The sequence below is a fragment of the Homo sapiens genome, chromosome 13 (genome assembly GCF_000001405.40).
Source record: "Homo sapiens chromosome 13, GRCh38.p14 Primary Assembly".
NCBI lineage: Eukaryota > Metazoa > Chordata > Mammalia > Primates > Hominidae > Homo > Homo sapiens.
In genome coordinates, this window is record NC_000013.11 from 20,838,943 (window position 1) to 20,862,701 (window position 23,759).

Genomic DNA, 23,759 nt, shown 5'->3' on the forward strand with positions numbered 1-23,759 from the left:
GATGAATCTTGAAAACATTATGCTAAGTGAAAGAAGCAAGGATGGGTGCAGTGGATGACACCTGTAATCCCAGCACTTTGGGAGGTCGAGGCAGGCAGATCACTTGAGGACAGGAATTCGAGACCAGCCTGGGCAACATGGCGAAACTCCATCTCTACTAAAAAATACAAAACTAGCAGGGCGTAGTGGTGTGTGCCTATAGTCCCAGCTACTCAGGAGGCTGAGGCAGGAGAATCGCCTGCACCCAGAAGGCAGAGGTTGCAGTGAGCCGAGATCGCGCCACGGCACTCCACCTTGGGAAACAGAGTGAAACTCCGTCTCAAAAAGAAGCCAGTCACAAAGGACCACATATTATATGATTCCATTTATACGCTATGTCTAGAATAGGTAAATGCATAGACAGAAAGTGGTTGCTACGGACTGGGGAAGGTGGAAATGGAGACTAACTGCTAATTGACACAGGGCTTGTGTTTGGGATGATGAAAATGTTCTAAAACTACTGACAATTATTGCTGTACAACTCTATGAATATATTAAAAAACACTGAATTATACATTCTAAATGGGTATATAGTATAGTGTGTGAATTACATCTCAATAAAACTATTATTGAGACTGGGCATGGTGGCTCATGCCTGTAATGCCAGCACTTTGGGAGGCTGAAGGAGGAGAATCACTTGAAGCCAGGAGTTCGAGGCCAGCCTAGCCAACACAGCAAGACTCCATCTCCACAAAAATTAAAATAAAAAAATTAGTCAGGGCCAGGTATGGTGGCTCATGCCTGTAATCCCAACACTTTGGCAGGCCAAGGTGGGTGGATCAACCTGAGGTCAGGAGTTCAAGACCAGCCTGGACAACATGATAAAACCTGTCTCTACTAAAAATATAAAAATAAGCTGGGTGTGGTGGTGCACACCTATAATCCCAGCTACTTGGATGGCTGAGGCATGAGAATCGCTTGAACCCAGGAGGCAGAGGTTGCAGTGAACCAAGATAGTGTCACTGCACTCCAGCCTAGGCAACAGAGCAAGATTCTTTCTCAAAAATAAATAAATAAATAAAAATAAAATTATCTCAATATAAAATATAGATACAAAAAAGAAAGCAGATTAGAAAAAATTAATAAATGGGGGATTGTTACTGATAATTTAACACAGCCTCATTTAACATACCATTCTAAATTATCAAAATATTTAACACTAAATACACAAATTTTCCATGATTTATTATTTGTCTATCCTAAGAGACAAATCACCTTTTATTTTATTTTATTTTATTTTTATTTTGAGACAGGGTCTCTTCTGTCGCCCAGGGTGAGTGCAGTGGCATGATCATGGCTCACTGTAGCTTCAACCTTCCAGGCTCAAGCAATCCTCCTACCTCAGCCTCCCGAACAGCTGGGACTACAGGCACACACCACACACCTAGCTAATATTTGTATTTTTTTGTAGAGATAGGGTTGTGCTATGCTGCCCATGCTGGTCTCGAACTCCTAGACTCAAGCAATCCTCCCATGTCAACCTCCCAAAGTTCTGGGATTACAAGAGTGAGCCACCGCACCCAGCAGATAAACCATCTTTTAAAAGGCATCAATTCAACACTTTTAAACTAAGTTAAATTTGATTATTTAGACCCTCTCCATGGTACAAGGCTGCATAATTATTCCATTCTTTTCCTTACTGATTGAATGGTAGATCTCCAGGTAATTTCCAAAATTAGAAATTAGTCAGAATTGAGTTCCTTGAAATTGATTTCCCTAATGAGTGCTAAATCTGTAGCTTAGTTTAATCTCACTGCCAAGTTCTTTCTCCCACACTTAAAGCTAATCCACTCAAAGAATACTTAGCTGTAGTGCAGTCAGCCAACAAATGGCACTATATGAAAAGGTCACACAAGAACTCACTCATAAGCCATGAAGCAAAATATCCTCAAGTCAAAAACCAAGATATACTTTCTTTAAACAAGGAATTATTTCCTTTGGCAACACTGCAGTATTGCTTATCATTTTCAGATGACAGATTTTCCAAAGCTTTATCTAAGTACTTTATAAAATATTTTATGTGTGTGTATCTTTTAGACAAGCTTTGTTTCCAAACTCCCAGAGAACTATTTCTTTTTATAAAATAGTCACTCTCTACCAACTGTATTTTCCCTTAAAACAGACACTTTAAAATATATGCAGTGTAACTTTTGTTGATTTTTCCCTACATATATAATTAATATTTTGATAGCTCCATATGGACTGCTAATTTTAAAATATGTCTCAAGGTTTTTCAATATCTTTTCTTTCCCCACTGAAAACACTGGAGCAAGAAGCTGAATCCAATCTCTCTCCCCAACTGCAAGATCCTGTTGTGGTGGTCCCCACATCTATCACCATTGGCTCCCCTGAATAAAGCCTGCCTTACCAACTTTATTTAAAAAAACAAACAAACAAAAAACCTAGAACAAAAATATTGAAACACTGAAAGGGGAAATTTTTTAAAAAGCAAACCTAAGCAAGTAGCCACCTCTTGACAACCAAAAAGAATTAAGTTAATATATTAAAGATAAAAAGTTGGTTATTGGGAGAAAGATGATTACAGAATAAGAATAAAAGGAAACAGTGACTGACCTTACTGTAAGCTTTGCCCCATAATGCAGCAGCTCAGTGACTGCTTTTGGGAAAGAAACCTGGAGAGCTCACGAGTCAGACTCACTTTACCTGACAGAGCCCTTCACAGTTAATATTCTACTACGTGAATAGACTAAGTTTAAATGGAAGAAGGAGTTATACCCCACCACACTCCTTTAAATGTCATAATTTTACCAGCCACAAATAATTAGCGAGTTTCTGTATATGTAAATGTAGCTCCTCTTGGCTCTTGTTACAATAAAAATGAGTCCCATACTAGATCTCTGATCTGATTTCACATCTATTTCCTGTCTGCTTATCATCAGTCTTTTTCTCCTGAACAGACTCTCAGATTAAAAACATCTAGAACAGGTCGCATTAAATTTCCTATACCACACAGAGGCGTATTAGTTCAACAAAGAAGAGTATAAAAGACAGTTAGTTATATAATGAACTATTTAATTCACGGAGGCTATTAAGAGCTCAATAAATAGTAACTAACTCCTGAGTGTTTTAAATGTATTGTTTCATTTAATTCACACAACAATCCATACCCCCATTTTACATTTGGAAAAGCTGAGACTCAGAGAGGTTCAGGTGATTTGCCTAAGATGAGCAGAGCCTTGAATCCAGATCTATTGGACTTTACACAACAAATGGGTAGTCACTGTATATTACTATCAACGGGCAGCAGATGTCCCAGCATAGTAAATGAGACAGCAGTTCCTTAAAGTTTATGAAATACAAATTTCTCTACTTTAAGTAACTAATTTAAAAAGCAGATATATGCATTGATAATACAACCCACTTAAACTTTTGAATAATTTCCTAAAAACAAAATTCTCATTTTTTTATACTGGTAAAGGCCCTTGAAGAGTAAACATATTACTAACTTATTACCTATACTTGAACAACATCACCATCCATAAAGATTAAATTAGAGCACTCCAAACTAGCTTTAAGTCAGTCAAAAAAATCAAACATAATTACTTGTCCAAGGAAAAAATGATTCGGTTTCTTAAAAGGTAATTTCTACCTGTTTCCTTTTCCTTCCCAAAGAATAATGCTAATCCTGAATTAGCAACAGCTCCGTCATCCACCACGTTTCTATGTATTCAAACTTCTTCTACAAAGGAGTAAATACTTTTAAATCTTCTAGTATTATCCTAGTATCCACTGTCTTTTGGCATTATAAAGAAATTAAATTCTATTTCTTAAAAAAAATCTTATTTTCTTTCAATATGTTTTATGAAAGCTGCAGAGGTGAAAGACTCCGAGCTGTAATTAAGTCACCTATGAAAATTACCACAGATAAACTATTCATTTGTTAAAAGGATATAATTTGGAGGAAGAAAGTTCCAGCTCAAGACTTGATTGGCGAGTGCAAGGTAACGCTGAAATACTGAAGACATCTGAGCATTGAGGTTTTCCCGCCTGCTGAACTCCTGCAGAACTTCAACAGTTAACATGAAGATCTGACGAAGGTCTTCTTCCTATAGTCAATAAATCACAAATATTTTATATGAAAAATTTATTCAAAATGTATCCCCTTTTAGAATCATGAAACAAAACAAACACCTTAAAATTTCCAATGGAAAACACCATTTCCTTAAGAACGTGTTCCATTTTTAGGCCTCTACTTGTAATTTACATCGCAGTATGCTTTCAAGTGACGCCAGATGGAATACTTTTACTTGAATATAAATGCTACTTCCATAGAGAAGAGAGTCTTTGACAACTACTGCGGAGCCAGAGGAGTCAGTTGCTATAGTGCAGAGCCCTAGGATTTAAGCCAATGCCTTCACATAACTTTACTCCAGAGCCAAACAATACATACAAGACAAAGAGCCCGCACCATCTGCAATAACATTTGAAATACACGGCCTTCTGGCATTCTTCCAGACCTATTTTTAAGGCCAGCAGAGTCCCTTCAATTGAATTAGTTATATCTAAACACAATAAGAAATAAATAATAAACTAAAGATCTTTATAGAAGTATTGTTTTTAAGACTAGAATTAAACAAGTAATTTTAAACCATCAACTACATTCACCAAACCTATCATTTTACTATATCCTTTGAAATCACAAAACAAATCCTGAAGTACAGGCTACCATTCAACTACATAAAATAAATATTCTCATGTCATTAGGAATAGATTGAGTAAAAAGTGAATGATCCAATAATTAAAACTCAAGAACAAAACTACCAATACCTGAAAAACTCTTTTGCAGTTACCATGGAATTCCATGCTCAATCCAATGTTGCTAGTTTTACTTGAACTTGAAAATTCACTCAATAGCGCAGTCAGAATAGAACAGGCCAGAGTTTGCTGTAATTATTTGATAAGAAATAATTGTGAGGCATTACTGTTTCAACGCTTTGTTTCAATGCATTTGTTCAAACATAATAGAACATTTTCTCCCTAACTTTAGATCTTCCACTGTATCTTTAGATCTTATAACAACTAGTCAGAAAATCAGATATGACAAAATAAATATTAGCTCTCCTTTCTAAGTGGTCTGGTCAGTGTTAATAGTACTTCCTCAAATGCAGTTATACAAATCCATCTAAGACTTGAACTCAGGACACACTGTTCCTACTCAATAGTGGAATTCAAATGATATTTAAAAATAATAAATGTTGAAGGTATTATTTTGTTTAATTCGCAGAACAACCTATATCCTCATTTTACATTTGAGAGAAGTGACCTGGAGTACTTATCTAAGGCCAGCTGAGATTTCAACCCATGTTTGACCCCGTTCTGTTTGTAAAATGCATTCCCAAATAGATGAAAAGTGAAACAGATTTTATAGTGTCCAAAATATTATAGCCAGGTAATACCCAAAAGTTTTTTAAATAGAAAAATGAAGATTTTTCTTCTCATTGGTTCTATCCAACAGGCTCCTAATATCAACTCATTGATTTTATTCCCAGACTAAAACAGTCAAGGTACAAAGGATGGAAAGAGGATACAAATTATTTTGGCAACTTTCCAGGAGTTAAACAGAAATATGCACACTACCTCTGAACAACCGAAAGATTAAAGTCAAGATGATACTATTTATGCAAGCTTATCCAACAGCTGAACACTGTCATACCCACCCACCAACTGCAACATCTCTGTTCAGAAATGCTTCTGATGTCAGTACCTTGACCTTACAGATACTTATCTTGGCAAATCTTAGCAAATAACTTAATGATATTAAATTCCTAAAAACTGGCAGGAAATATCTGTTGAAGGTGAGAGGTGACTGATGGTTCCATGAGTGACTAATAGACTATCTGTCCATTTTGTATATGTCTGAAATTTTTCTTTAAAAAATGTAAACATAGGCCGGACACAGTGGCTCATGCCTGTAATCCCAACACTTTGGGAGGCCGAGGCAGGCAATCACCTGAGGTCAGGAGTTCGAGACCAGCCTGGCCAACATGGTGAAACCCTGTCTCTACTAAAAATACAAAAAAATCAGCTAGGCATGATGGCAGGCACCTGTAGTCTCAGCTACTTGGGACACCAAGGCAGGAGAACGCTTGAACCTGGGAGCCGAAGGCTGCAATGAGCCGAGATCGCGCCACTACACTCCAGCCTGGGCAACAGAGTAAGACTAAGTCTCAAAGAAAAAAGAGTAAACATAAAGTTAAATTCCTATTTGCCTCTTAATCTCAACTAAAACAAGCGTGACTATATAGCTAATATTTATGAAAGGCACAAAACCCCATATGTTAAAGAAGTTTCTCAGACTTTTCCACACCTGGAAGTAAATGCAAATTCTCTAGCGAATCTAGGGGTATGATCAAAGATGCCTTCTGCAACAATAAAAGTTCTCTGAATGTTACTGGTTTGGCATAAACACACACATTTTGTAATTTTACTTCAAAATATACATGACTTAATATAAAAATGTCCCTTCCTCCCAAAATCTTCAAGAAACCCATTTAACTGCCTTTGTATGGCCCCAGGCACTTGGAGACAAAGAAGCCAGGCACTAAGGCCTCTCACAGAAAAAAACAGTTGATCACATATTTCTGTCATTTTACTGTTTAAAGCGATCTCAAAATTCAGGAAGTACAATCCCTTCATTTTTTTAGTTAACAAAATTGTTAATTTTCAAAAATTTTCTTTTAAAATGATTAATGATTATAGTGCCAGCAATTAACATTAGACAGATACATTTAAATAACATGAGGATCAACTATAAACATGATTTTTAAACACAGCTAGGCTTTGGTGGGGAAAGTAGATGTTAAATCAAATTAATGAGATTCAGAGAAAAAATTTAATTCACAATGATCTAATGATGAATCCCAAGATCCTAGGATCCTGAAAACAATTTTTCATTGACACTTAGCTTTTCACTTATCCTTTCTAAGACTCTAGTCAATAAAACATTATAAACACATCTAAATGTTTGAGAAAACTTGTCTTACTAAAAAAGGAAATTAATTTCTGAATCTCAGATGAGATAACCTATTAAAAACAGAATTGACACATAACATAAAAACCTGCAAGCTGAAAGAACCTAGAAGCACTCATTAAACAAATTCTTACTCTTACAAATGAATAATCTATACTAGTTTTTCACAAGTAATTTACAGCTTTCCACAGATTGTGTCTTACTGCATTCACCACAAAATGGCTTATTTTAAAACTATCACCATATTCAAGTTTTCAGGAACATCTCTCTAATTAATGATCACAGCCATACGTACTCACAAAAGCTTTACTTTTTCACATGAAACAAACATTTCCCAAGATAACATGTGGTTTACGGTCAAGATGAGAAACAAATGAGTGAAGGAGAGGGGCAGGGCAACGACAGGTGAAAGCCCTGCTAAAGCTACTCCTGCAACTACAAACTTCATCAGACAAAACAAGGAGCCCTAGTGGCATGGAACTGCTTTTTAGTTACGGCAATGAATATATCCCTCCAAAACAGCAAACTTCCACACTAATGAAGTACAAATTCACCCATAAAAACAAGTACATTCTTAATCGATGAGAATTTAGAACAAAATGCACTTATAGACTTAGCCCCCTGAACACGTAAGAATCTTTCGTTTTTAAATAATTTTTTCATCCTACAAAAATATACTTCTATCTTAGAAAAACTAGAAATCGTAGAAAAGCACAACGAAAATAAAATTGTCTACAATCCTACCATCCAGGAGTTATTACTGTAACATTTATAGCTTTCCAATTTTTTGATGCACAGATATAAATTTTTATATATCATTGATATAAACCCAAATATAGTTTTACATTCTACTTTTCCACTTTATACCTATGAAATAAAAAGAAAAAAATTTAAAAACAAATGTGTTCTATTTAAATATACCACTTAAAGACTTAAGAAATACATAAAAATAAATTATTGTACAGCATTGTTAGAGGTATTGCAAGAAATCAAATATTCTGGCTTTAACTGTACCTACGATTATCAGCTTCCAAAGAACTAAAATTCAATAGGATATTTTCATCATTAAAATATACCAAATAGTATAAGCTCTCCTTAATTTGGAAATCCTGTAGGAATATGAGATTACCATCATAAATATTAATCATACTACACTAGTCTGGCTCAAAGGTGCCAAATGAATAGAGACTCCTGGGGAATGATGAATAATTAAACATTGATTATACATTAAGAGAGCAAAGTACTTCAACACATATCAACAAAGTATTTCTCCCTATTCATAGGGGAATTAAACATATCACTAAATGTCTAGGACTCACTTCTAAATATGTTTGCTCATTTTCAATATTTAATTATGGATTAAATCCCCTTAAAATGAAGTTACTCTCACATTGTGGGTTGTAATGAAGATAGCTAGGGAAGCAAGCCAAAAATAAAACTCCCAAGGGAGAACAGAGGACAGCTTCTTCCCAGGAAAGAGAGAGGAAAGAAAAAAAATTAAAGCATCAAATCTGCCTAAAGGAGATCACCAGCTTCAGCTTTTCTTACCCTTAAAGAATGTTCTTATCTGCCTCCTTCAGACTGTTAGGTCTCAATGGGCATTCCGAGTGCACTACCCCCTAACTCACCCTCTACTGACCAGTATCTTCAAGTGCTGCCTCTCTGGCCTTTGTCAAAGTCAGAGCTAGATATTTTTCCATATCAGAGACAGTGGCTCTGATACTTAAGACAGCCGGAAACAAAAGCTGTAGTAATTAATGTCAGTGAATTCGGATCAAAGTTGACTAACTAACTAATTGATAAAAGACTGCCATACTAAAATACACAGGAATTTGCCCAGTATAAAATACAAATCTTAAGACTTCTAAGAGGTTAATACAACAATACTTCACTTATCTAAGATCATGAAGAATTAAGTTAATATGTTAATTTTGTAAATGCAGCAAGCAAACATTTTTAATGAAACGTCCTATAAATTTTTCTTAAGGAATTATTTCTATGGCAATTATATGATATTATACTTAAGTGACTACTTGGAAGCTACTAAAACATAAGGGGCCTTCCACCCGTTGGCAACGTGGTGCCAGATCCCAATGCTTGTTGATTTATGTCTGCTTCATAGCTTTTCTCAATCATCCTTTGTTGTTGTCTATCATTCACTGCTGCTGGCAATTTGACTGCCACTAACAGGTAGTTCTAAATGGATCATTTTCATTTGCTCACAGGTTAGAAACCAAATAAAATTTATTAAAATTACATCTAAAATAAATGATAAATAAAAACATTCTGCAGGACTCTTTCAGGAGTCCAATACAAGAATCCTGTTGTTTGAATCAGTTAGAAAATCTGGGCTCTAACAGTCCAAGATTTCCTTCTTCAAATAACTGTGGTCAAAGCCCTTCATGTACCTTGACCTCAGCTTTCTCATCTACAGTAAGGGCTACCACCCTCTGCCATACCTAATTTGCATAATTGTCCTAAGGCTCAAATTGCATAATGCTTAAAAATACCATGTAATTACACCAGGTTACAAGAAGGTAAAGTAGCAGCTGTATTTTTTATCATTATCATAGAAAATGACAACCACCTATTTCAGCTTTATTCTATTCCTTGATGATGATCTACATTCTGCAAAATTAAAATTACTAAATGTGTTACACCACTTAAAAAACAGAGCTATAACTGAAGCTGTATCACTAAAGCAATATAGTAAATGTTCAGTAAATGCTGTTTGGATTAATGAATCAGTGTTTACTTCTATGCCCAGCACTATGTTAACATAACAGAAGTTGGAAAATAAATGATGTGTTCCCTATTTTTTGGTTGTTTATAAATTTCTACAAGACAATTTTAATATGTCAAACAAGTAGAAGACAATGCAATGAGGTGTCAAAGTTATAAAAAAAAGTCTAATTGTCTTCTTTCATTGAAGTACTGAAAATTCACAAGTTAATTCACTGGCTAACAATTTAAGTAACTCTTATCTTCACATTGAAAGTCTTAGACCAGCATTCTCATTTATTTCTAGCAAAAGCCATTAATTTCAAGCTAGTGAAAAAATGCCCTTCAGAGATAGCTTGCCTTACTCACCAGCTTACTGTCACAAGCCCAAGATACTCAAACACTAACTCCAGCTGACAAAATAAAATACTCTTGTTCAGAGAGAGGATTGTCTCTTATAATAGCCTGGCTCTTACCCCAGGAGCTTTATTACCAAGAATAAACTTTATGAAAGGTTGCCATACATAAAGCAGACTTCCAGCTGCTCTTCTATGCAAACATCAATGAGACTTATGATAAGAGAGATTAACTTGGCTATCACATCCAGGGGCTGCCGTAGACAAGTGAATTTCTCACCCACTTCTCTCTAGTATGGCAAAGAGGAAGAAAGGAGACTTAAATGCTAAATTAAACAGCTTTAAAGTGATTTAACGTATGCCTACTGCTTTCAAAGGAAATAAGACAAATATGAATTATATGTTTAAATACAGATTAAAATTTTAGCTTAAAATAAAAAATTTTGCTACTTTCCTAGGAAGGCAAGTTTCCATATCCCTCCCAAATTAGTACTGACAGCAGGTCTGACACTACTGCAAACTGAGATGAAATAACCACGTAACCTTTATAATTATGGAAGGAAAACATCATAACTGCCCACAAGCTTGAAATAACATTATTTAATAATCATACAGGCATAAATTAACTAAGAATACATCATTTTTTACACAAATTAGATATAATCTTTCCATAAAACTATCTGTAGAGAACCAAGTCTTTAAGATACTTCTGAAAGCCTTTAAAGAAAGCCTAATGTGTTGGTTACCTATATTTTTTAAAAATACACACAAATTGGCAGAATGTGGTGGCTCACACCTGTAATCCCAGCACTTTGGGAGGCTGAAGTGGGCAGATCACTTGAGGTCAGGAGTTCGAAACCAGCCTGGCCAACATGGCAAAACCCCATCTCTACTAAAAATATAAAAATTAGCCGGGCATAGTGGCATGCGCCTGTAGTCCCAGCTACTCGGGTGGCTGAGGCATGAGAATCGCTTAAACCCAGGAGGCGGAGGTTGTAGTGAGCTGAGTTCATGCCAATGCACTCCAGCCTGGGCGACAGAGCAAGACTCTGTCTCAACAAAAACCACACACAAATGATTAGTTTCACTCATAGCATAAACATTTTCTTCTGCTTTTCCATACTTAAAATATTGTTTGAGAGAAAAACACATGATTTATTATAGTTCACTTCCCGAGATTCTATGAAGAAAGCAGTGAGAGACTACTAGGGAGACGGCACAAATACTTGCTGAATAGAAGTGAATATTATCACATTTATTTTACATATTAGTGAACTAATGCCTAGAGAAGTTAATTTAAGTTAGGTTGGCAATAAATGGCAGAGCTGGGATTTAAACCCAAGTGTGAATCCAAAATCAGTGTTCTATTATACTACACTGCCCCTAAACCTGTATAAATGCAAACATGAGACTAGTACAGGGAAATGGACCATCAAAAATCAATTCTTGGCTGGACGTGGTGGCTCACACCTATAAGGCTGAAACAGGAGGATCACCTTGAGGTCAGGAGCTCAAGATAACCTGGGCAACATAGTGAGACCCCATCTTTACAAAAAAATTTTAAAATTAGCCAGGTACAGTGGCACGTACCAACAGTCCCAGCTACTCAGGAAGCTGAGGTGGGAGGATCACTTGAGCCCAGGTGATCGAGGCAGCAGTGAGTTATGAACATGTCACTGCACTTCAGCCCAGGCGATAGAGCGAGGCCCTGTTTCTAAAACAACAAAACAAACAAATGAAACCAATATGCTTCAAAAGCGAAGGGGGAAAAGCCAGACTACATACAGTTTCTGGCCAATGAAGGTTGATGGAAATGTCCTTCTAGAAGAGGTGTGAGGGGAAAATTAGTTATCTAATTTAATGGTTCATGAAGTCAACCCTTTCTTCATCTACAGAAAACCTTTAGTTAATTTTTTCTACTTTTCAAATCTCTCTTAAAAGTCACCTTTATAAAGAAAGTTTATAGCCAATACTAAATCAATGTTCTGATCAGTTATCATTCTCCTTTCTTACAGAGGTTTTAATCATCTTGTTCACTGTCATTTATATCTGAGACTATGAAAACATTAAGTAAATTCTTGAACCACTTACAAATTCTTAACAGTCCAAGAAGAAGAGAGGATGATATAAGAAAATGTCTGAACTTCATTTTTTAGGCCTTCCTATTGAGCTAGTTTCAAGCTACTGGGCAAGGACAAATAGGGACAGTGTATGCATTTAACCTGCCATATAGAGAATATTTTTCACATTTAATGTTTTTAATGTAGTCACCAAAATAAATTTCATCCTGCAATCCTGAAATTAAATTCTACTTCCCACTGAAGTATACTGATTTCCTACTATTACAGTAGTTCTCAGCCCTGGTATTAAAAATTTGACTTTAGGCCAGGCATGGTTGGCTCACACCTATAATCTTTGGGAGGCCAAGGTGGGCAGATTGCTTGAGCCTGGAAGTTTGAGACCAGCTTGGGCAACATAGCAAAACCCTGTCTCTACAACAATACAAAAAATTAGCTCAGTGTGGTGGCATGCACCTGTAGTCCCAGCTACTCAGGAGGCTAAGGTAGAAGAATCACCTGAGCATGGGGAGGTCAAGGCTGCAGTAGGCCAAGACTACACCATTGCCCTCCAGCCGAGGCAACAGAGCAAGACCCGGTCTCACAAAAAAAAAAAAAAAAAAAGAAAGAAAGAAAGAAAGAAAGACAGAAATTTGACTTTAAAAAAAACTTTGGAGTCTTTCATGAGAATATTACATTTATCCACTATTCTCAAAGTGTACACACTATGAAGAGAGCAAAATCTTCTCTAACTGAACAGCTATATCTGTTCCAATCATTCTCAGAAGATCAGTTATTTCAGTGGCTCCAAAAAAATCCAATTGCCAGGTTGCAGTGGGACTAGTTTTTGTGCTGGGTCAAATTACCCAAGGGGAAAGGAAGCAGAGAACTCAGTTCCCAAGTATGTGCTCATTCCTGAGAGAGGCAAGGGACTCTTGACCCTTCGCCTGCGCCGTCCCAGTGCCAACAAGCTACTTGTAGGGGGTGAGGGCAGGCCGCATAAATTCTACCCCAATACCAAAATCCTGGCTGGAATGATCACCAAACTAACAAGGGAAAGGCATTAGTCATAAATAGATAGATCTCAGAGTTACTAGTAATGTTCCTCAAGTTTAAATCCTGTCTGTCACAAGGAGCTGGACTCCTTTACTGCACACTGTCAAAATGAAACAAGATGTTCTTAAGTGAAATCTAAAATATGAAGTGCAACTTGATTCAGGGCATTGGGGGCAAGGATAATATTTCCAAGTAGCAGCCTCAGTTGCAAACCTTTTCTCTGCTATTTTTATCTAAGTATATCCACCACTTCTTTTTCCCCAGGCTATCGATGATGACCAACATTGGATAATGCACATGGCCATTAGTTTGGAAGCAAATTCGAACAAATTCATAGAAATGACAAGATTACCATTATACAACTCGTGTAGACACTGCTGAAGCATCAGCATCTCATGAACAAATCTTATAATATTTGGTAATATTATATTTGGTATATTTGAATATTATGGTATATTTGATTATAATATTTTATAACATTTAAATAATGATTATGAATATTTATGGCAACATGGAAAATACAGAATCAAATGAGAAAGCAAGGTACACCACATCTATATTATATACATATATTAAAAAAGACTAGAAGAAAACCTGAACAAATGAAAATTGCTTGACTGAGAGCCTTTTCACTTTTTTTATGTAGATATCCATTATTCTTGCTATAATGCTATTTGTGTAACAGAAAATATAAATTGTTAATATTTATAAATACAAATAGCACACTTAACCACAGTGGGATTACCACTACTTATCAACTGGCTGACTTCATGGAAAATGCTTTTGCGGTCAATTGATTTATCTAAAGCTCATGACATGCTGATCAGAAATGGAGACTATATCTACTACCACAATTTATATTACTCTAAGTAAAAATAGCTTCCCATGGCCAGCCGTGGTGGCTCACATCTGTAATCCCAGCATTTTGGAAGGCTGAGGCAAGAGATCACTTGAGCCCAGGAGTTCGAGACCAGCCTAGGCAACATAGTGAAACCTCATCGCTACAAAAAAACTTTAAAAATTAGCCAGGAGTGGTGGCTTGTGCCGATAGTCCCAGCTACTCAGGAGAGACTAAGGTGGGAAGACTGAGCCCATGAGGTCGGGGCTGCAGTGAGCTGTAATCATATCACTGCACTCCACAGACTGTGCAACAGAGCAAGTGAGACCCTGTCTCAAAAAAAAAAAAAAAATAGCTTCCTACCCAGGTACAGTAGCCTGTACCTTAATCCCAGCTACTCGAGAGGCTGAGGTGGGAGGTGGGAGGATTGGCTGAGCCCAGGAGACTGAGGCTGAAGTGAGCTATGCACCACTGCATTACACCCTGTCTCTTAAATTTAAAAAAAGTAGCTCCCCATAATTTTCACCTCAAAAATTTAATATGAACCCTTCTTTCAAGAAATATTCCCACTTCATAAAATCAAAATGACTTATAGAATGTAAAGATTCAAACATATATACTTTCAAATTTATTAGTTTTATACAAAAATTAAATTTCACAATACTAAGATTAAGTAAAGGGGCCATAAAATTAAATTATCGGTCTTTAGAATGACACTATCCAATACGTTTGTCACTAACTATGTGTGGCTATTTGAATTTAAATTAAAATTTAAAAAATTAGAAAATTCAGTTCTTCAGTCACCCTAGCCACATTTCACATCACCAACTGCCACAAGTGGCCAGTGTAGTGGCTACATATTGGGGAGCACAGACATAGAACACTTCTTTCAACACAGTAAGTTCTACTGGACAGCACTACTCTTGAAATTTGCCACAAAAATGGCATAAAACTTAATATCACACAATCAAAAATCAAGATGTAAATAAAAATGTTCTGTATCTTGACTATGGTAGGAGTTTACTGGTATACACAACAGTCACAACTTAACGAGGTGTGCATTTTAGACAGACATAGTAATGCATGTAAATTACTTCTCAATAAAGTTAAGGAAAAAAAAGAACAAACACAAGACCATTGATGAATTTCTAAGGAAAACAAAAAACACGTAGGGTATATATAGTAAGTTCCAAAGTCCTGATCAGCTTGCTTACAGATTCCGTGGGTCTAGACTCCTGAGGTATCAGTCTGCGGTCCTAAGCAGAGTGGAGGCAGATGGCTGGGAGAGTGAGTTGAGCGCATAGCTGTGTGCGGTGAAAAGTGATGGACAGGAAGGCAGAAGAGAAGAGATCCAAGATATTGTGGAAAGCAAGGGACAATGTATGTGGCCCTCCTAAAATACACCACAGCATCTCAACCTCAAAGCATCAACTACATCGTTAAAATCACATCCATTAACTGAGGGGCCACTGAAGACAAAAGGAATTAACAAACAGTTATAAGGTACATAGCCTCACATAGATATCTTTAAAATGATTAAATAAATTGTAAAGGTAATAAGCTACCCAAAATACTTAAAGATGTAATAATATCCGAGACTCAGAATGGCCAAGTATTACCAATCTCAATTCTATATGAGTTAAATATCATTCAGGTGATAAAAGTTGATAGGTTAAACAAAGAATCACAGCTAATCATTAATAGCAACCGCAACTCCTCCTGCCTCAGACAGAGTGATTACAACCAAACAGCCACTCTCCAGGCACAACTCCAGCTCTCTAAAAGGTGGACAGGAGAGTGGAGAGGGTGGGAGAACCATGCTTCCCAAACTAATTCAGCCAAGAACAATAACCCCTAATTTGTTCAGTTGACAGTAACTCCTGAAGTCCCATGGCCTATTAGGACAGCAACTTTTAATTATTTTCATGTCAGATATTTTCTACTTTATTCAAACACTTCTGTATTCACTAGTAGCTGTCAAAGGTTTATTAGAAATGGCAAAACAAAGTTCAATAGAAACGGCTAACAATATTATGGCATATTAACTTATAATATTTTATAACAATTAAAATAATGATTATGAATATTTATGGCAACATGGAAAATACAGAATCAAACGAAAAAGCAAAGTACACTGCATTTATATTATGTACATATATATTTAAAAAGACTAGGCCAGGCGCAGTGGCTCACACCTGTAATACCAGCACTTCGGGAGGCAGAAGCAGGCGGATCACCTGAGGTCGGGAGTTTGAGACGAGCCTGACCAACATGAAGAAACCCTGTCTCTACTAAAAATACAAAATTAGCCAGGTGTGGTGGCACATGCCTGTAATCCCAGCTACTTGGGAGGCTGAGGCAAGAGAATTGCTTGAACCCGGAAGGCAGAGGTTGCGGTGAGCCAAGATCATGCCATTGCACTCCAGCCTGGGCAACAAGAGCAAAACTCTTGTCACAAGGGAAAAAAAAAAAAAAAGACTAGAAGAAAACCTGAACAAATGAAAATTGCTTGACTGATAGCTTTTTCACTATTTTTATGTAGATATCCATTACTCTTGCTATAATGCTATTTGTGTAACAGAAAATATAAATTGTTAATATTTATAAATACAAATAGCACACTTACCACAGTGGGATTGCCACTACTAATCAACTGGCTGACTTCATGAAAAATGCTTTTGCAGTCAATTGATTTATCTAATGATCCTCTTTTTACAATTACTGCTACTGCTAGTAGAATCTGTTCCCGAACATACTTTTGAAGGCTGTAAAACATAAAAATCATTGTGAAAAATTTACCTAAATCTAATACAAGAATACTCCCAAACTTCTCTCTATGCCTGAAGCTACTAATAACATTGCTTACATGTGAGAGTAGAAGAGCCAAAGGGTTATGTACAGACTCCAAAGCCAGGAGGCCTGGGTTCAAACCCAGGCTCCATTGTGGACGGGCTGTATGACCCTGGGCAAGACAGTTAGCATTCAGGGCCTTGGTTTTCAATCTGTAAAATGAGAATAACACTACTAGTGTTATTATAAGGGTTAAATGTTCCTAGAACTGTGCCCAGTACATACTAAGCACTATACAAGTGTTATTTGCTCCAGGAAGTGTTCAACAGATGTAAGTCAGCTCCCTGTTAAATATTTGTAGGGAAAAAAATCACTAAGATTAAGATTCCACTAGTCTGGAGATAAATTCTGATCTAACCTACGTCTACAACTACTAATCTAATCCTAAATCCCATTTCCCTTTAATGTGAAAAGGCAACATACTAGCTATCCGAGATACATCATTATGGAAACATAAAATTGTAAAACACACACACACAAACATTCAAAATGTTCATATCTAGGTTCTGTTCCTCCATGTGATGACAGAAGCACCCATCCCAAGTGGAGGCATTTTACCAAGCCCATTTGACCACAAGGGCACAGAAACTTAATTGACTTTTCACAATCTTTTCTGAAAGATAAGGATCAGAAAACATAATCCCAAACTTTATAATCTAGCCTCTGGAATCCCACAAAGATACAACCACCAAGTGCCCCTGGAATAAACCCAAACCCCTTAACATGGCTTATAAGCAGTGGGAACCATTCTAGCTTTCCTGGGACAGCCTCAATTCACCTGTTGCCCCAAATAATTATTAGTCGTTCTTTATTTCACTCTCAAAAGTGTCCCAGTTTGGAGACCCACCTATAGCCACCAGTGGCTGCTCCTCTCCTTGACTTCTGCCCTTCCACACACACGCACAACTGCAGACATATTGACCTTTCAGTTCCTCACTCCACACTCTTTTGACTTCCAGGCCTCTGAACTTCTATTCCCTCTCCCAAGATTATGACGTCACTTTCTCCAGAAAGTTATTACTAAGGGCTCCCACGGCACCCTCACATGACAGGACATATCTGTTACTACTGGTTCACTAGCTCCCAGATCAGCCACCCACTCTATGCACACTAGCATATGCAAAGCACACTACCTGCTGCATAACATGCATTTATTAGATATTTATACAGATGAATAAATATGTCTCCCTATCGTCAAGACTGAAGTGAAAAAACATTCCTTCAAAACATACACTTGAACCATTTATCTTTCACTCATTAAGCAAATAAATGCAGAGATCCTACTATGCATAAGAATATTAGTTGGCCAAAGGGAATTTCTGTACTTTTAGGGGGACAGAATAGTTTCATAGGCACTGACTACTACTAGAAAATGTACATAAAGCTGAAGACTATGACTACAAATGTACACAAACATAGTTTTAAATATCTCTACTGGCAAGAATTAAAATTATTATTAGAATAAATAATAGCTACCATTTATTGAATGCTTACTATATGCAAGAATTTATATGAACTGGTTTCACAAATATTAACACATCTAATCCCCATGATACTACTACTATTATTCACTCCATTTAAAAATCAAATCAGAAGGCCGGGCGCAGTGGCTCACGCCTGTAATCCCAGCACTTTGGGAGGCCAAGGCAGGCGGATTACGAGGTCAGGAGATAGAGACCATCCTGGCTAACACGGTGAAACCCCGTCTCTACTAAAAAAAAAAAAAATTAGCCAGGCGTGGTGGCAGGCACCTGTAGTCCCAACTACTCGGGAGGCTGAGGCAGGAGAATGGCATGAACCCGGGAGGCGGAGCTTGCAGTGAGCTGAGACTGCGCCACTGCACTCCAGCCTGGGCAACAGAGCGAGACTCCATCTCAAAAACAAACAAAAAAATCAAATCAGAAAATTAATGCACAAAGAAGTAATCTGCCCAATGCTGCAGAGTTAAGTGGCAGAAGTAGGGTGCAAATCCCTTTCTTGACCACTATGCTACACTTGCCTCTTTCATAAAGGACATTGTGCATTTCACTGTATACAAATTTTATTTCAATTAAGAGGAAAAAATAAAAAAGAAAAAATTCTGTGCATGTAATGGGAAGTACACATTATTTATGTAATAGTCTACTACATAGCCTATAGTATTCTACCTATGCAGTATGCCAAAAACGTTTAACTTGAATCTAATCCACACTGTAGGGCATTCTACAAGATACAAATATCTGTGTCATGAAAGGCAAAAAAGAGCACACAATTATTCTAGATTAAAAGAGACATGACTAAATACACTGTACAATCTCTGGCTCACCTAGATTAAAAAAAAACCTACTGTACCTAAATAAAGCAAATATTAATAGATCTGAAGTGACAGACTGCAATACCAAAAAAAAAGTATAAAGGAAAAAGGATGTAAATATTATTCAGACAATTGGGAAACTCAGAATATGGAATCAGAATTGTTAGATCATATAAATATGCCAATTATATCAAGAGTATTGAGATTATGCTTTCAGAAGAGACACGTTCAAGAACTTTAAGGCTAAAGTATCATGATGTCTGTGGCACTCTCGAATAGTTAAGGGTAAAAAATGTACATATACATAAGAGAGAAATTAAATGTGACAAAATGTTAACTGAGCCTCTACTGGAAAAAGGGTGTGTTTACCACCACATTCTGGCCTGGGCAACACAGCAAGACTCTCTCTCTTAAAAAAAATGTTTGAGATAAAAAATATGTATGTAAGCCAGGTGTGGTGGCTCATGCCTGTAATCTTAGCACTTAGGGAGGTCAAGGAGGGCGGATCATGAGGTCATGAGTTCGAGACCAGCCTGGCCAAAATGGTGAAACCCCGTCTCTACTAAAAATGCAAAAAATTAGCTGGGCATGGTGGCGCATGCTTGTAATCCCAGCTACTCCAGAGGCTGAGGCAGTAGAATCGCTGGAACACAGGAGGCAGAGGTTGCAGTGAGCCAAGATTGCGCCATTGCACTCTAGCCTGGGTGACAGAGCAAGACTTCGTCTCAAGAAAAAACAAAAAAAGAAAAAATTAAAATATATATATATATGTGTGTGTGTATATATATATATATATATATATATATGTGAGCTATTTCAATGTGGAACCCTACAATCAACTCTACAATCAAACTAATTACTTTAGCTTCTAAATTATCAAAATGATTTTAAAATGAGATTAATTTGGGCCAGGTACGGTGGTTCATTCCTGCAATCCCAGCCCTTTGGGGTACTGAGGCAGGAGGACTGTTTGAGCTCAGGAGTTAGAGACCAGCCTGGGCAACACAGCAAGACCCTGTCTCAATTTAAAAAACTGAAAAGGAGGCTGGGCACGGTGGCTCACACCTGTAATCCCAGCACTTTGGGAGGCCGAGATGGGAAGATCATGAGGTCAAGAGATCAAGACCATCCTGGCCAACATGCTGAAACCATCTCTACTAAAAATACAAAAATTAGGCCAGGCACGGTGGCTCATATCTGTAATCCCAGCACTTTGGTAGGCTGAAGCAGGCGGATCACGAGGTCAGGAAATGGAGACCATCCTGGCTAACACAGTGAAACCCCGTCTCTACTAAAAATACAAAAAATTAGCCAGGCGTGGTGGTGGGCACCTGTAGTCCCAGCTACTCGGGAGGCTGAGGCAGGAGAATGGCGTAAACCCAGCAGGTGGAGCTTTCAGTGAGCGGAGATCACGCCACTGCACTCCAGCCTGGATGACAGACCGAGACTCCGTCTCAAAAAACAAACCAAAAAAAATACAAAAATTAGCTGGGTGTGGTGGCACGCACCTCTAGTCCCAGCTACTCGGGAGGCTGGGGCAGGAGAATCGCATGAACCCAGGAGGCGGATGTTGCAGTGAGCAGAGATCACGCCACTGCACTCCAGCCTAGCAACAGAGCAAGGCTCTGTCTCAAAAAAAATTAAAAAAAAAAAAAGAACAAATAAAAAGGAAAAAAAAAGAATGCGATTATTTTGGATAATATAAGAGCCAGACACATATACATAATGAAAATTTGCTACACATTTAAGTCTACCAAGGTCTCCAGAGTTCAGTGGTTCTCAGGTTGGGGAATGGCGACAAGGGGGAGAAAAGGCTATGACAACTAAACAGCTCCACAAAAAAGAACCGCTCTAGTTGACCTGAAGCTCCCCTGCTGGCCCTGACTCCATAAGGTAGTCTGGTCCAGATGATGACAGCTGCAGCAGCCAAAGCTTTTACTCCCCACCAGGCACTGTGCTCAGAACAATCTCATCTAATCCTGACACCAACCATATGAGATGGGTACCAAGTCCCTGATCTACAGGTAAAACAGAATATTAAAGAGACTTTATGTTAGTTTCCCAAGGTCACATAAATAGACTGCTCTTCAGAAAACGCTAACATTTTAGGCCTAGAGGCCAAAAACAATTTTTTTAACCTTCCCACATATAAACTTCTATAAACACAGAGGCCCTAAGGCTTATTTTCTTTTATTACATAAATATAAATAAATATGAAGGTTTTCTCAACTTGTGTTCAACAACAAGCACACTATCATAATTGATTTCAAAATATTTTCGTAGGGTAAAGAAAAATACCAAAACAAATATCATTTTAGAATTCAACAAAACACGTATCTCTTCCATGGTTGCAATTGATAATATAAATTTTGATGTGTCTGAATTACATTGTGTGCAAAACAACAAACAAAATAACAAGCACTTGCTGACATTGTCAAGACCTCTACTCACCTGTACTTACCTTTCTTTATGTACAGAGGGGTCAAAAGACAAACAGTCCTGTCAGGTCTAGCAAATATGGTCAAATAAAAACAACAAAAGAGCAAACTAGTATCACATCCAAATGGACCCACCAAACAAAAACCAATCAATCAATCCAGCATGACAGAGAAAAGAAAGGTTTCAAACCAGGGACAAGACTTCCTTATTCTATGAAAACCAGAAAAAAATTAGCCATGTCCTCCTCACAAACATGTATATCCACTTATCTACAGGACACATTATCCACTAAACCTGCAACACTAATAGGCTACAGAACCTTTGCCTTTGTTCTCTCCTGTATTTTTTTTTTTTGTATGTAAGGCAGTTAGCAGTTAACAAAGTGCTAAAGTCATGTCAGTATTATTAAATATTATTAACTCAGACTGCCAGGGTACAGTCAACAGAAACAAATGCATGACAGTATGCTCTAAAATTAAAATTTTATGTGTATGTTTATTGCCATTAATCACCATTCCTAAGCACACACATTTCTGATTACATAACAAAATTTTTTCTTTAATGACTTTGGAAATGAACATCTAAAGTATTCAATTGCACAAACAGTAAACATACAAGTGCATTGTCTATTCTTAAAAGAATACATGGTCTTTGGGGAACTTAACAAAAAAAGGTAAATAGTAAATCAAAAGTTATGTAGCTGATAGTTTTCCTCTTTTTTTTTTTTTTTTGAGATGGAGTCCCACTCTGCCACCTAGGCTGGAGTGCAGTGGCTCGATCTTGGCTCACCACAACCTCTGCCTCCCAGGTTTGAGTAATTCTCCTGATTCAGCCTCCCAAGTAGCTGGGACTACAGGCATGCACTACCACGCCCGACTAATTTTTGTATTTTTAGTAGAGATGGGGTTTCACCATGTTGGCCAGGCTGGTCTTGAACCCTTGACCTCAAGTGAGCCACCCACCTCAGCCTCCCAAAGTGCTGGAATTATAGGCATGAGCCACCACATCAGGCCTCATATATTTTTTTTAATCATTCAAGAAATAAATGTACATAATTTTGTAAAATGTTTAAGCAATACAGATATGTATAAAAAGAAAATTTACTTTCACCTCATTCCTCAAAACTCATCCTATTTTCAATGGAAGCTACTTAAAGATTTTGGAACTTCTTAATAGAACCTTGCACATTTCTCTCTTTTTTTTTTTTTTTTTTTTTTTTTTTGAGAAGGAGTCTTGCTCTGTCACCAGGCTGGAGTGCAGTGATGCAATGATCTCGGCTCACTGCAACCTCTGCCTCCCAGGTTAAAGCAATTCTCTTGCCTCAGACTCCCGAGTAGCTGGGACTAGAGGCGTGTGCCACCACACCCAGCTAATTTTTGTATTTTTAGTAGAGATGGCGTTTCCGCATATTGGCCAGGATCGTCTTGATCTCTTGACCTCATGATCTGCCTGGCTTGGCCTCCCAAAGTGCTGGGATTACAGGTGTGAGTCACCACACCCAGCCCTCTATGCACATTTCTATGTACACATATATGTAACATTTGATTTGTTAGTGGTACTTAGCTTCTTCCCTCTCCCCTGTTTTAGGATACTCACCTGTGTTATATCAATACTTACCATTTTTCACCTCTACTAAGCATCAAAAGAACAAGTAAATATAAAGGTTCTTCATCTAATCTAAGGTCAACTTTTATTTATAACTAAGTTCTTCACAACTCAACAACAACAACAAAAAACTAATATCCAACACAACCTTTTCAAAGAAACAAAACATAGTACCAAAAGCTTAAATAAAAGGTATTATTTCATTAAGCACCAAAACTACCTACAATCACGTGTATACAAGTGTTTAAAATATGAGCCCCACACAAAACTTAACCTTAAACATCTAGAGCTTTTTAAATTTTTTTTCTTTTTTTGTACTTAGTAGAGATGGGGTCTCACTATGTTGCCCAGACTGATCTCAAACTCCTGGGCTCAAGGAGATCCTCCCTCTCAGCCTCCCAAAGTGGAGATTATAGGTGTGAGCCACTATACCCACCCAAAAGTTTTTAAAATGCAAACAAAAAAAGCTCTAAAAAGATACACATAAGCTCAGCAAAAGTATTTCAGCAGTCCC

General features: G+C 37.3%; 1 protein-coding gene across 11 annotated transcripts in view; it reads right to left on the reverse strand.

Annotated features, from left to right (window-relative positions):
* XPO4 (exportin 4) overlaps positions 1 to 23,759 on the reverse strand; it is a 125,446-nt gene that overhangs the window by 61,614 nt on the left and 40,073 nt on the right. For 5 of the 11 annotated variants that reach the window (NM_001372061.1, XM_047430537.1, NM_022459.5 and 2 more), the window contains 3 exons: positions 16,685 to 16,823; positions 4,828 to 4,944; positions 3,953 to 4,106 (listed from right to left, as the gene is read on the reverse strand). In NM_001372061.1, coding sequence (NP_001358990.1) covers positions 3,953 to 4,106; positions 4,828 to 4,944; positions 16,685 to 16,823 — 410 coding nt within the window. The other 6 variants (XM_047430538.1, XM_011535200.3, XM_047430540.1 and 3 more) reach the window with 6 other exon arrangements.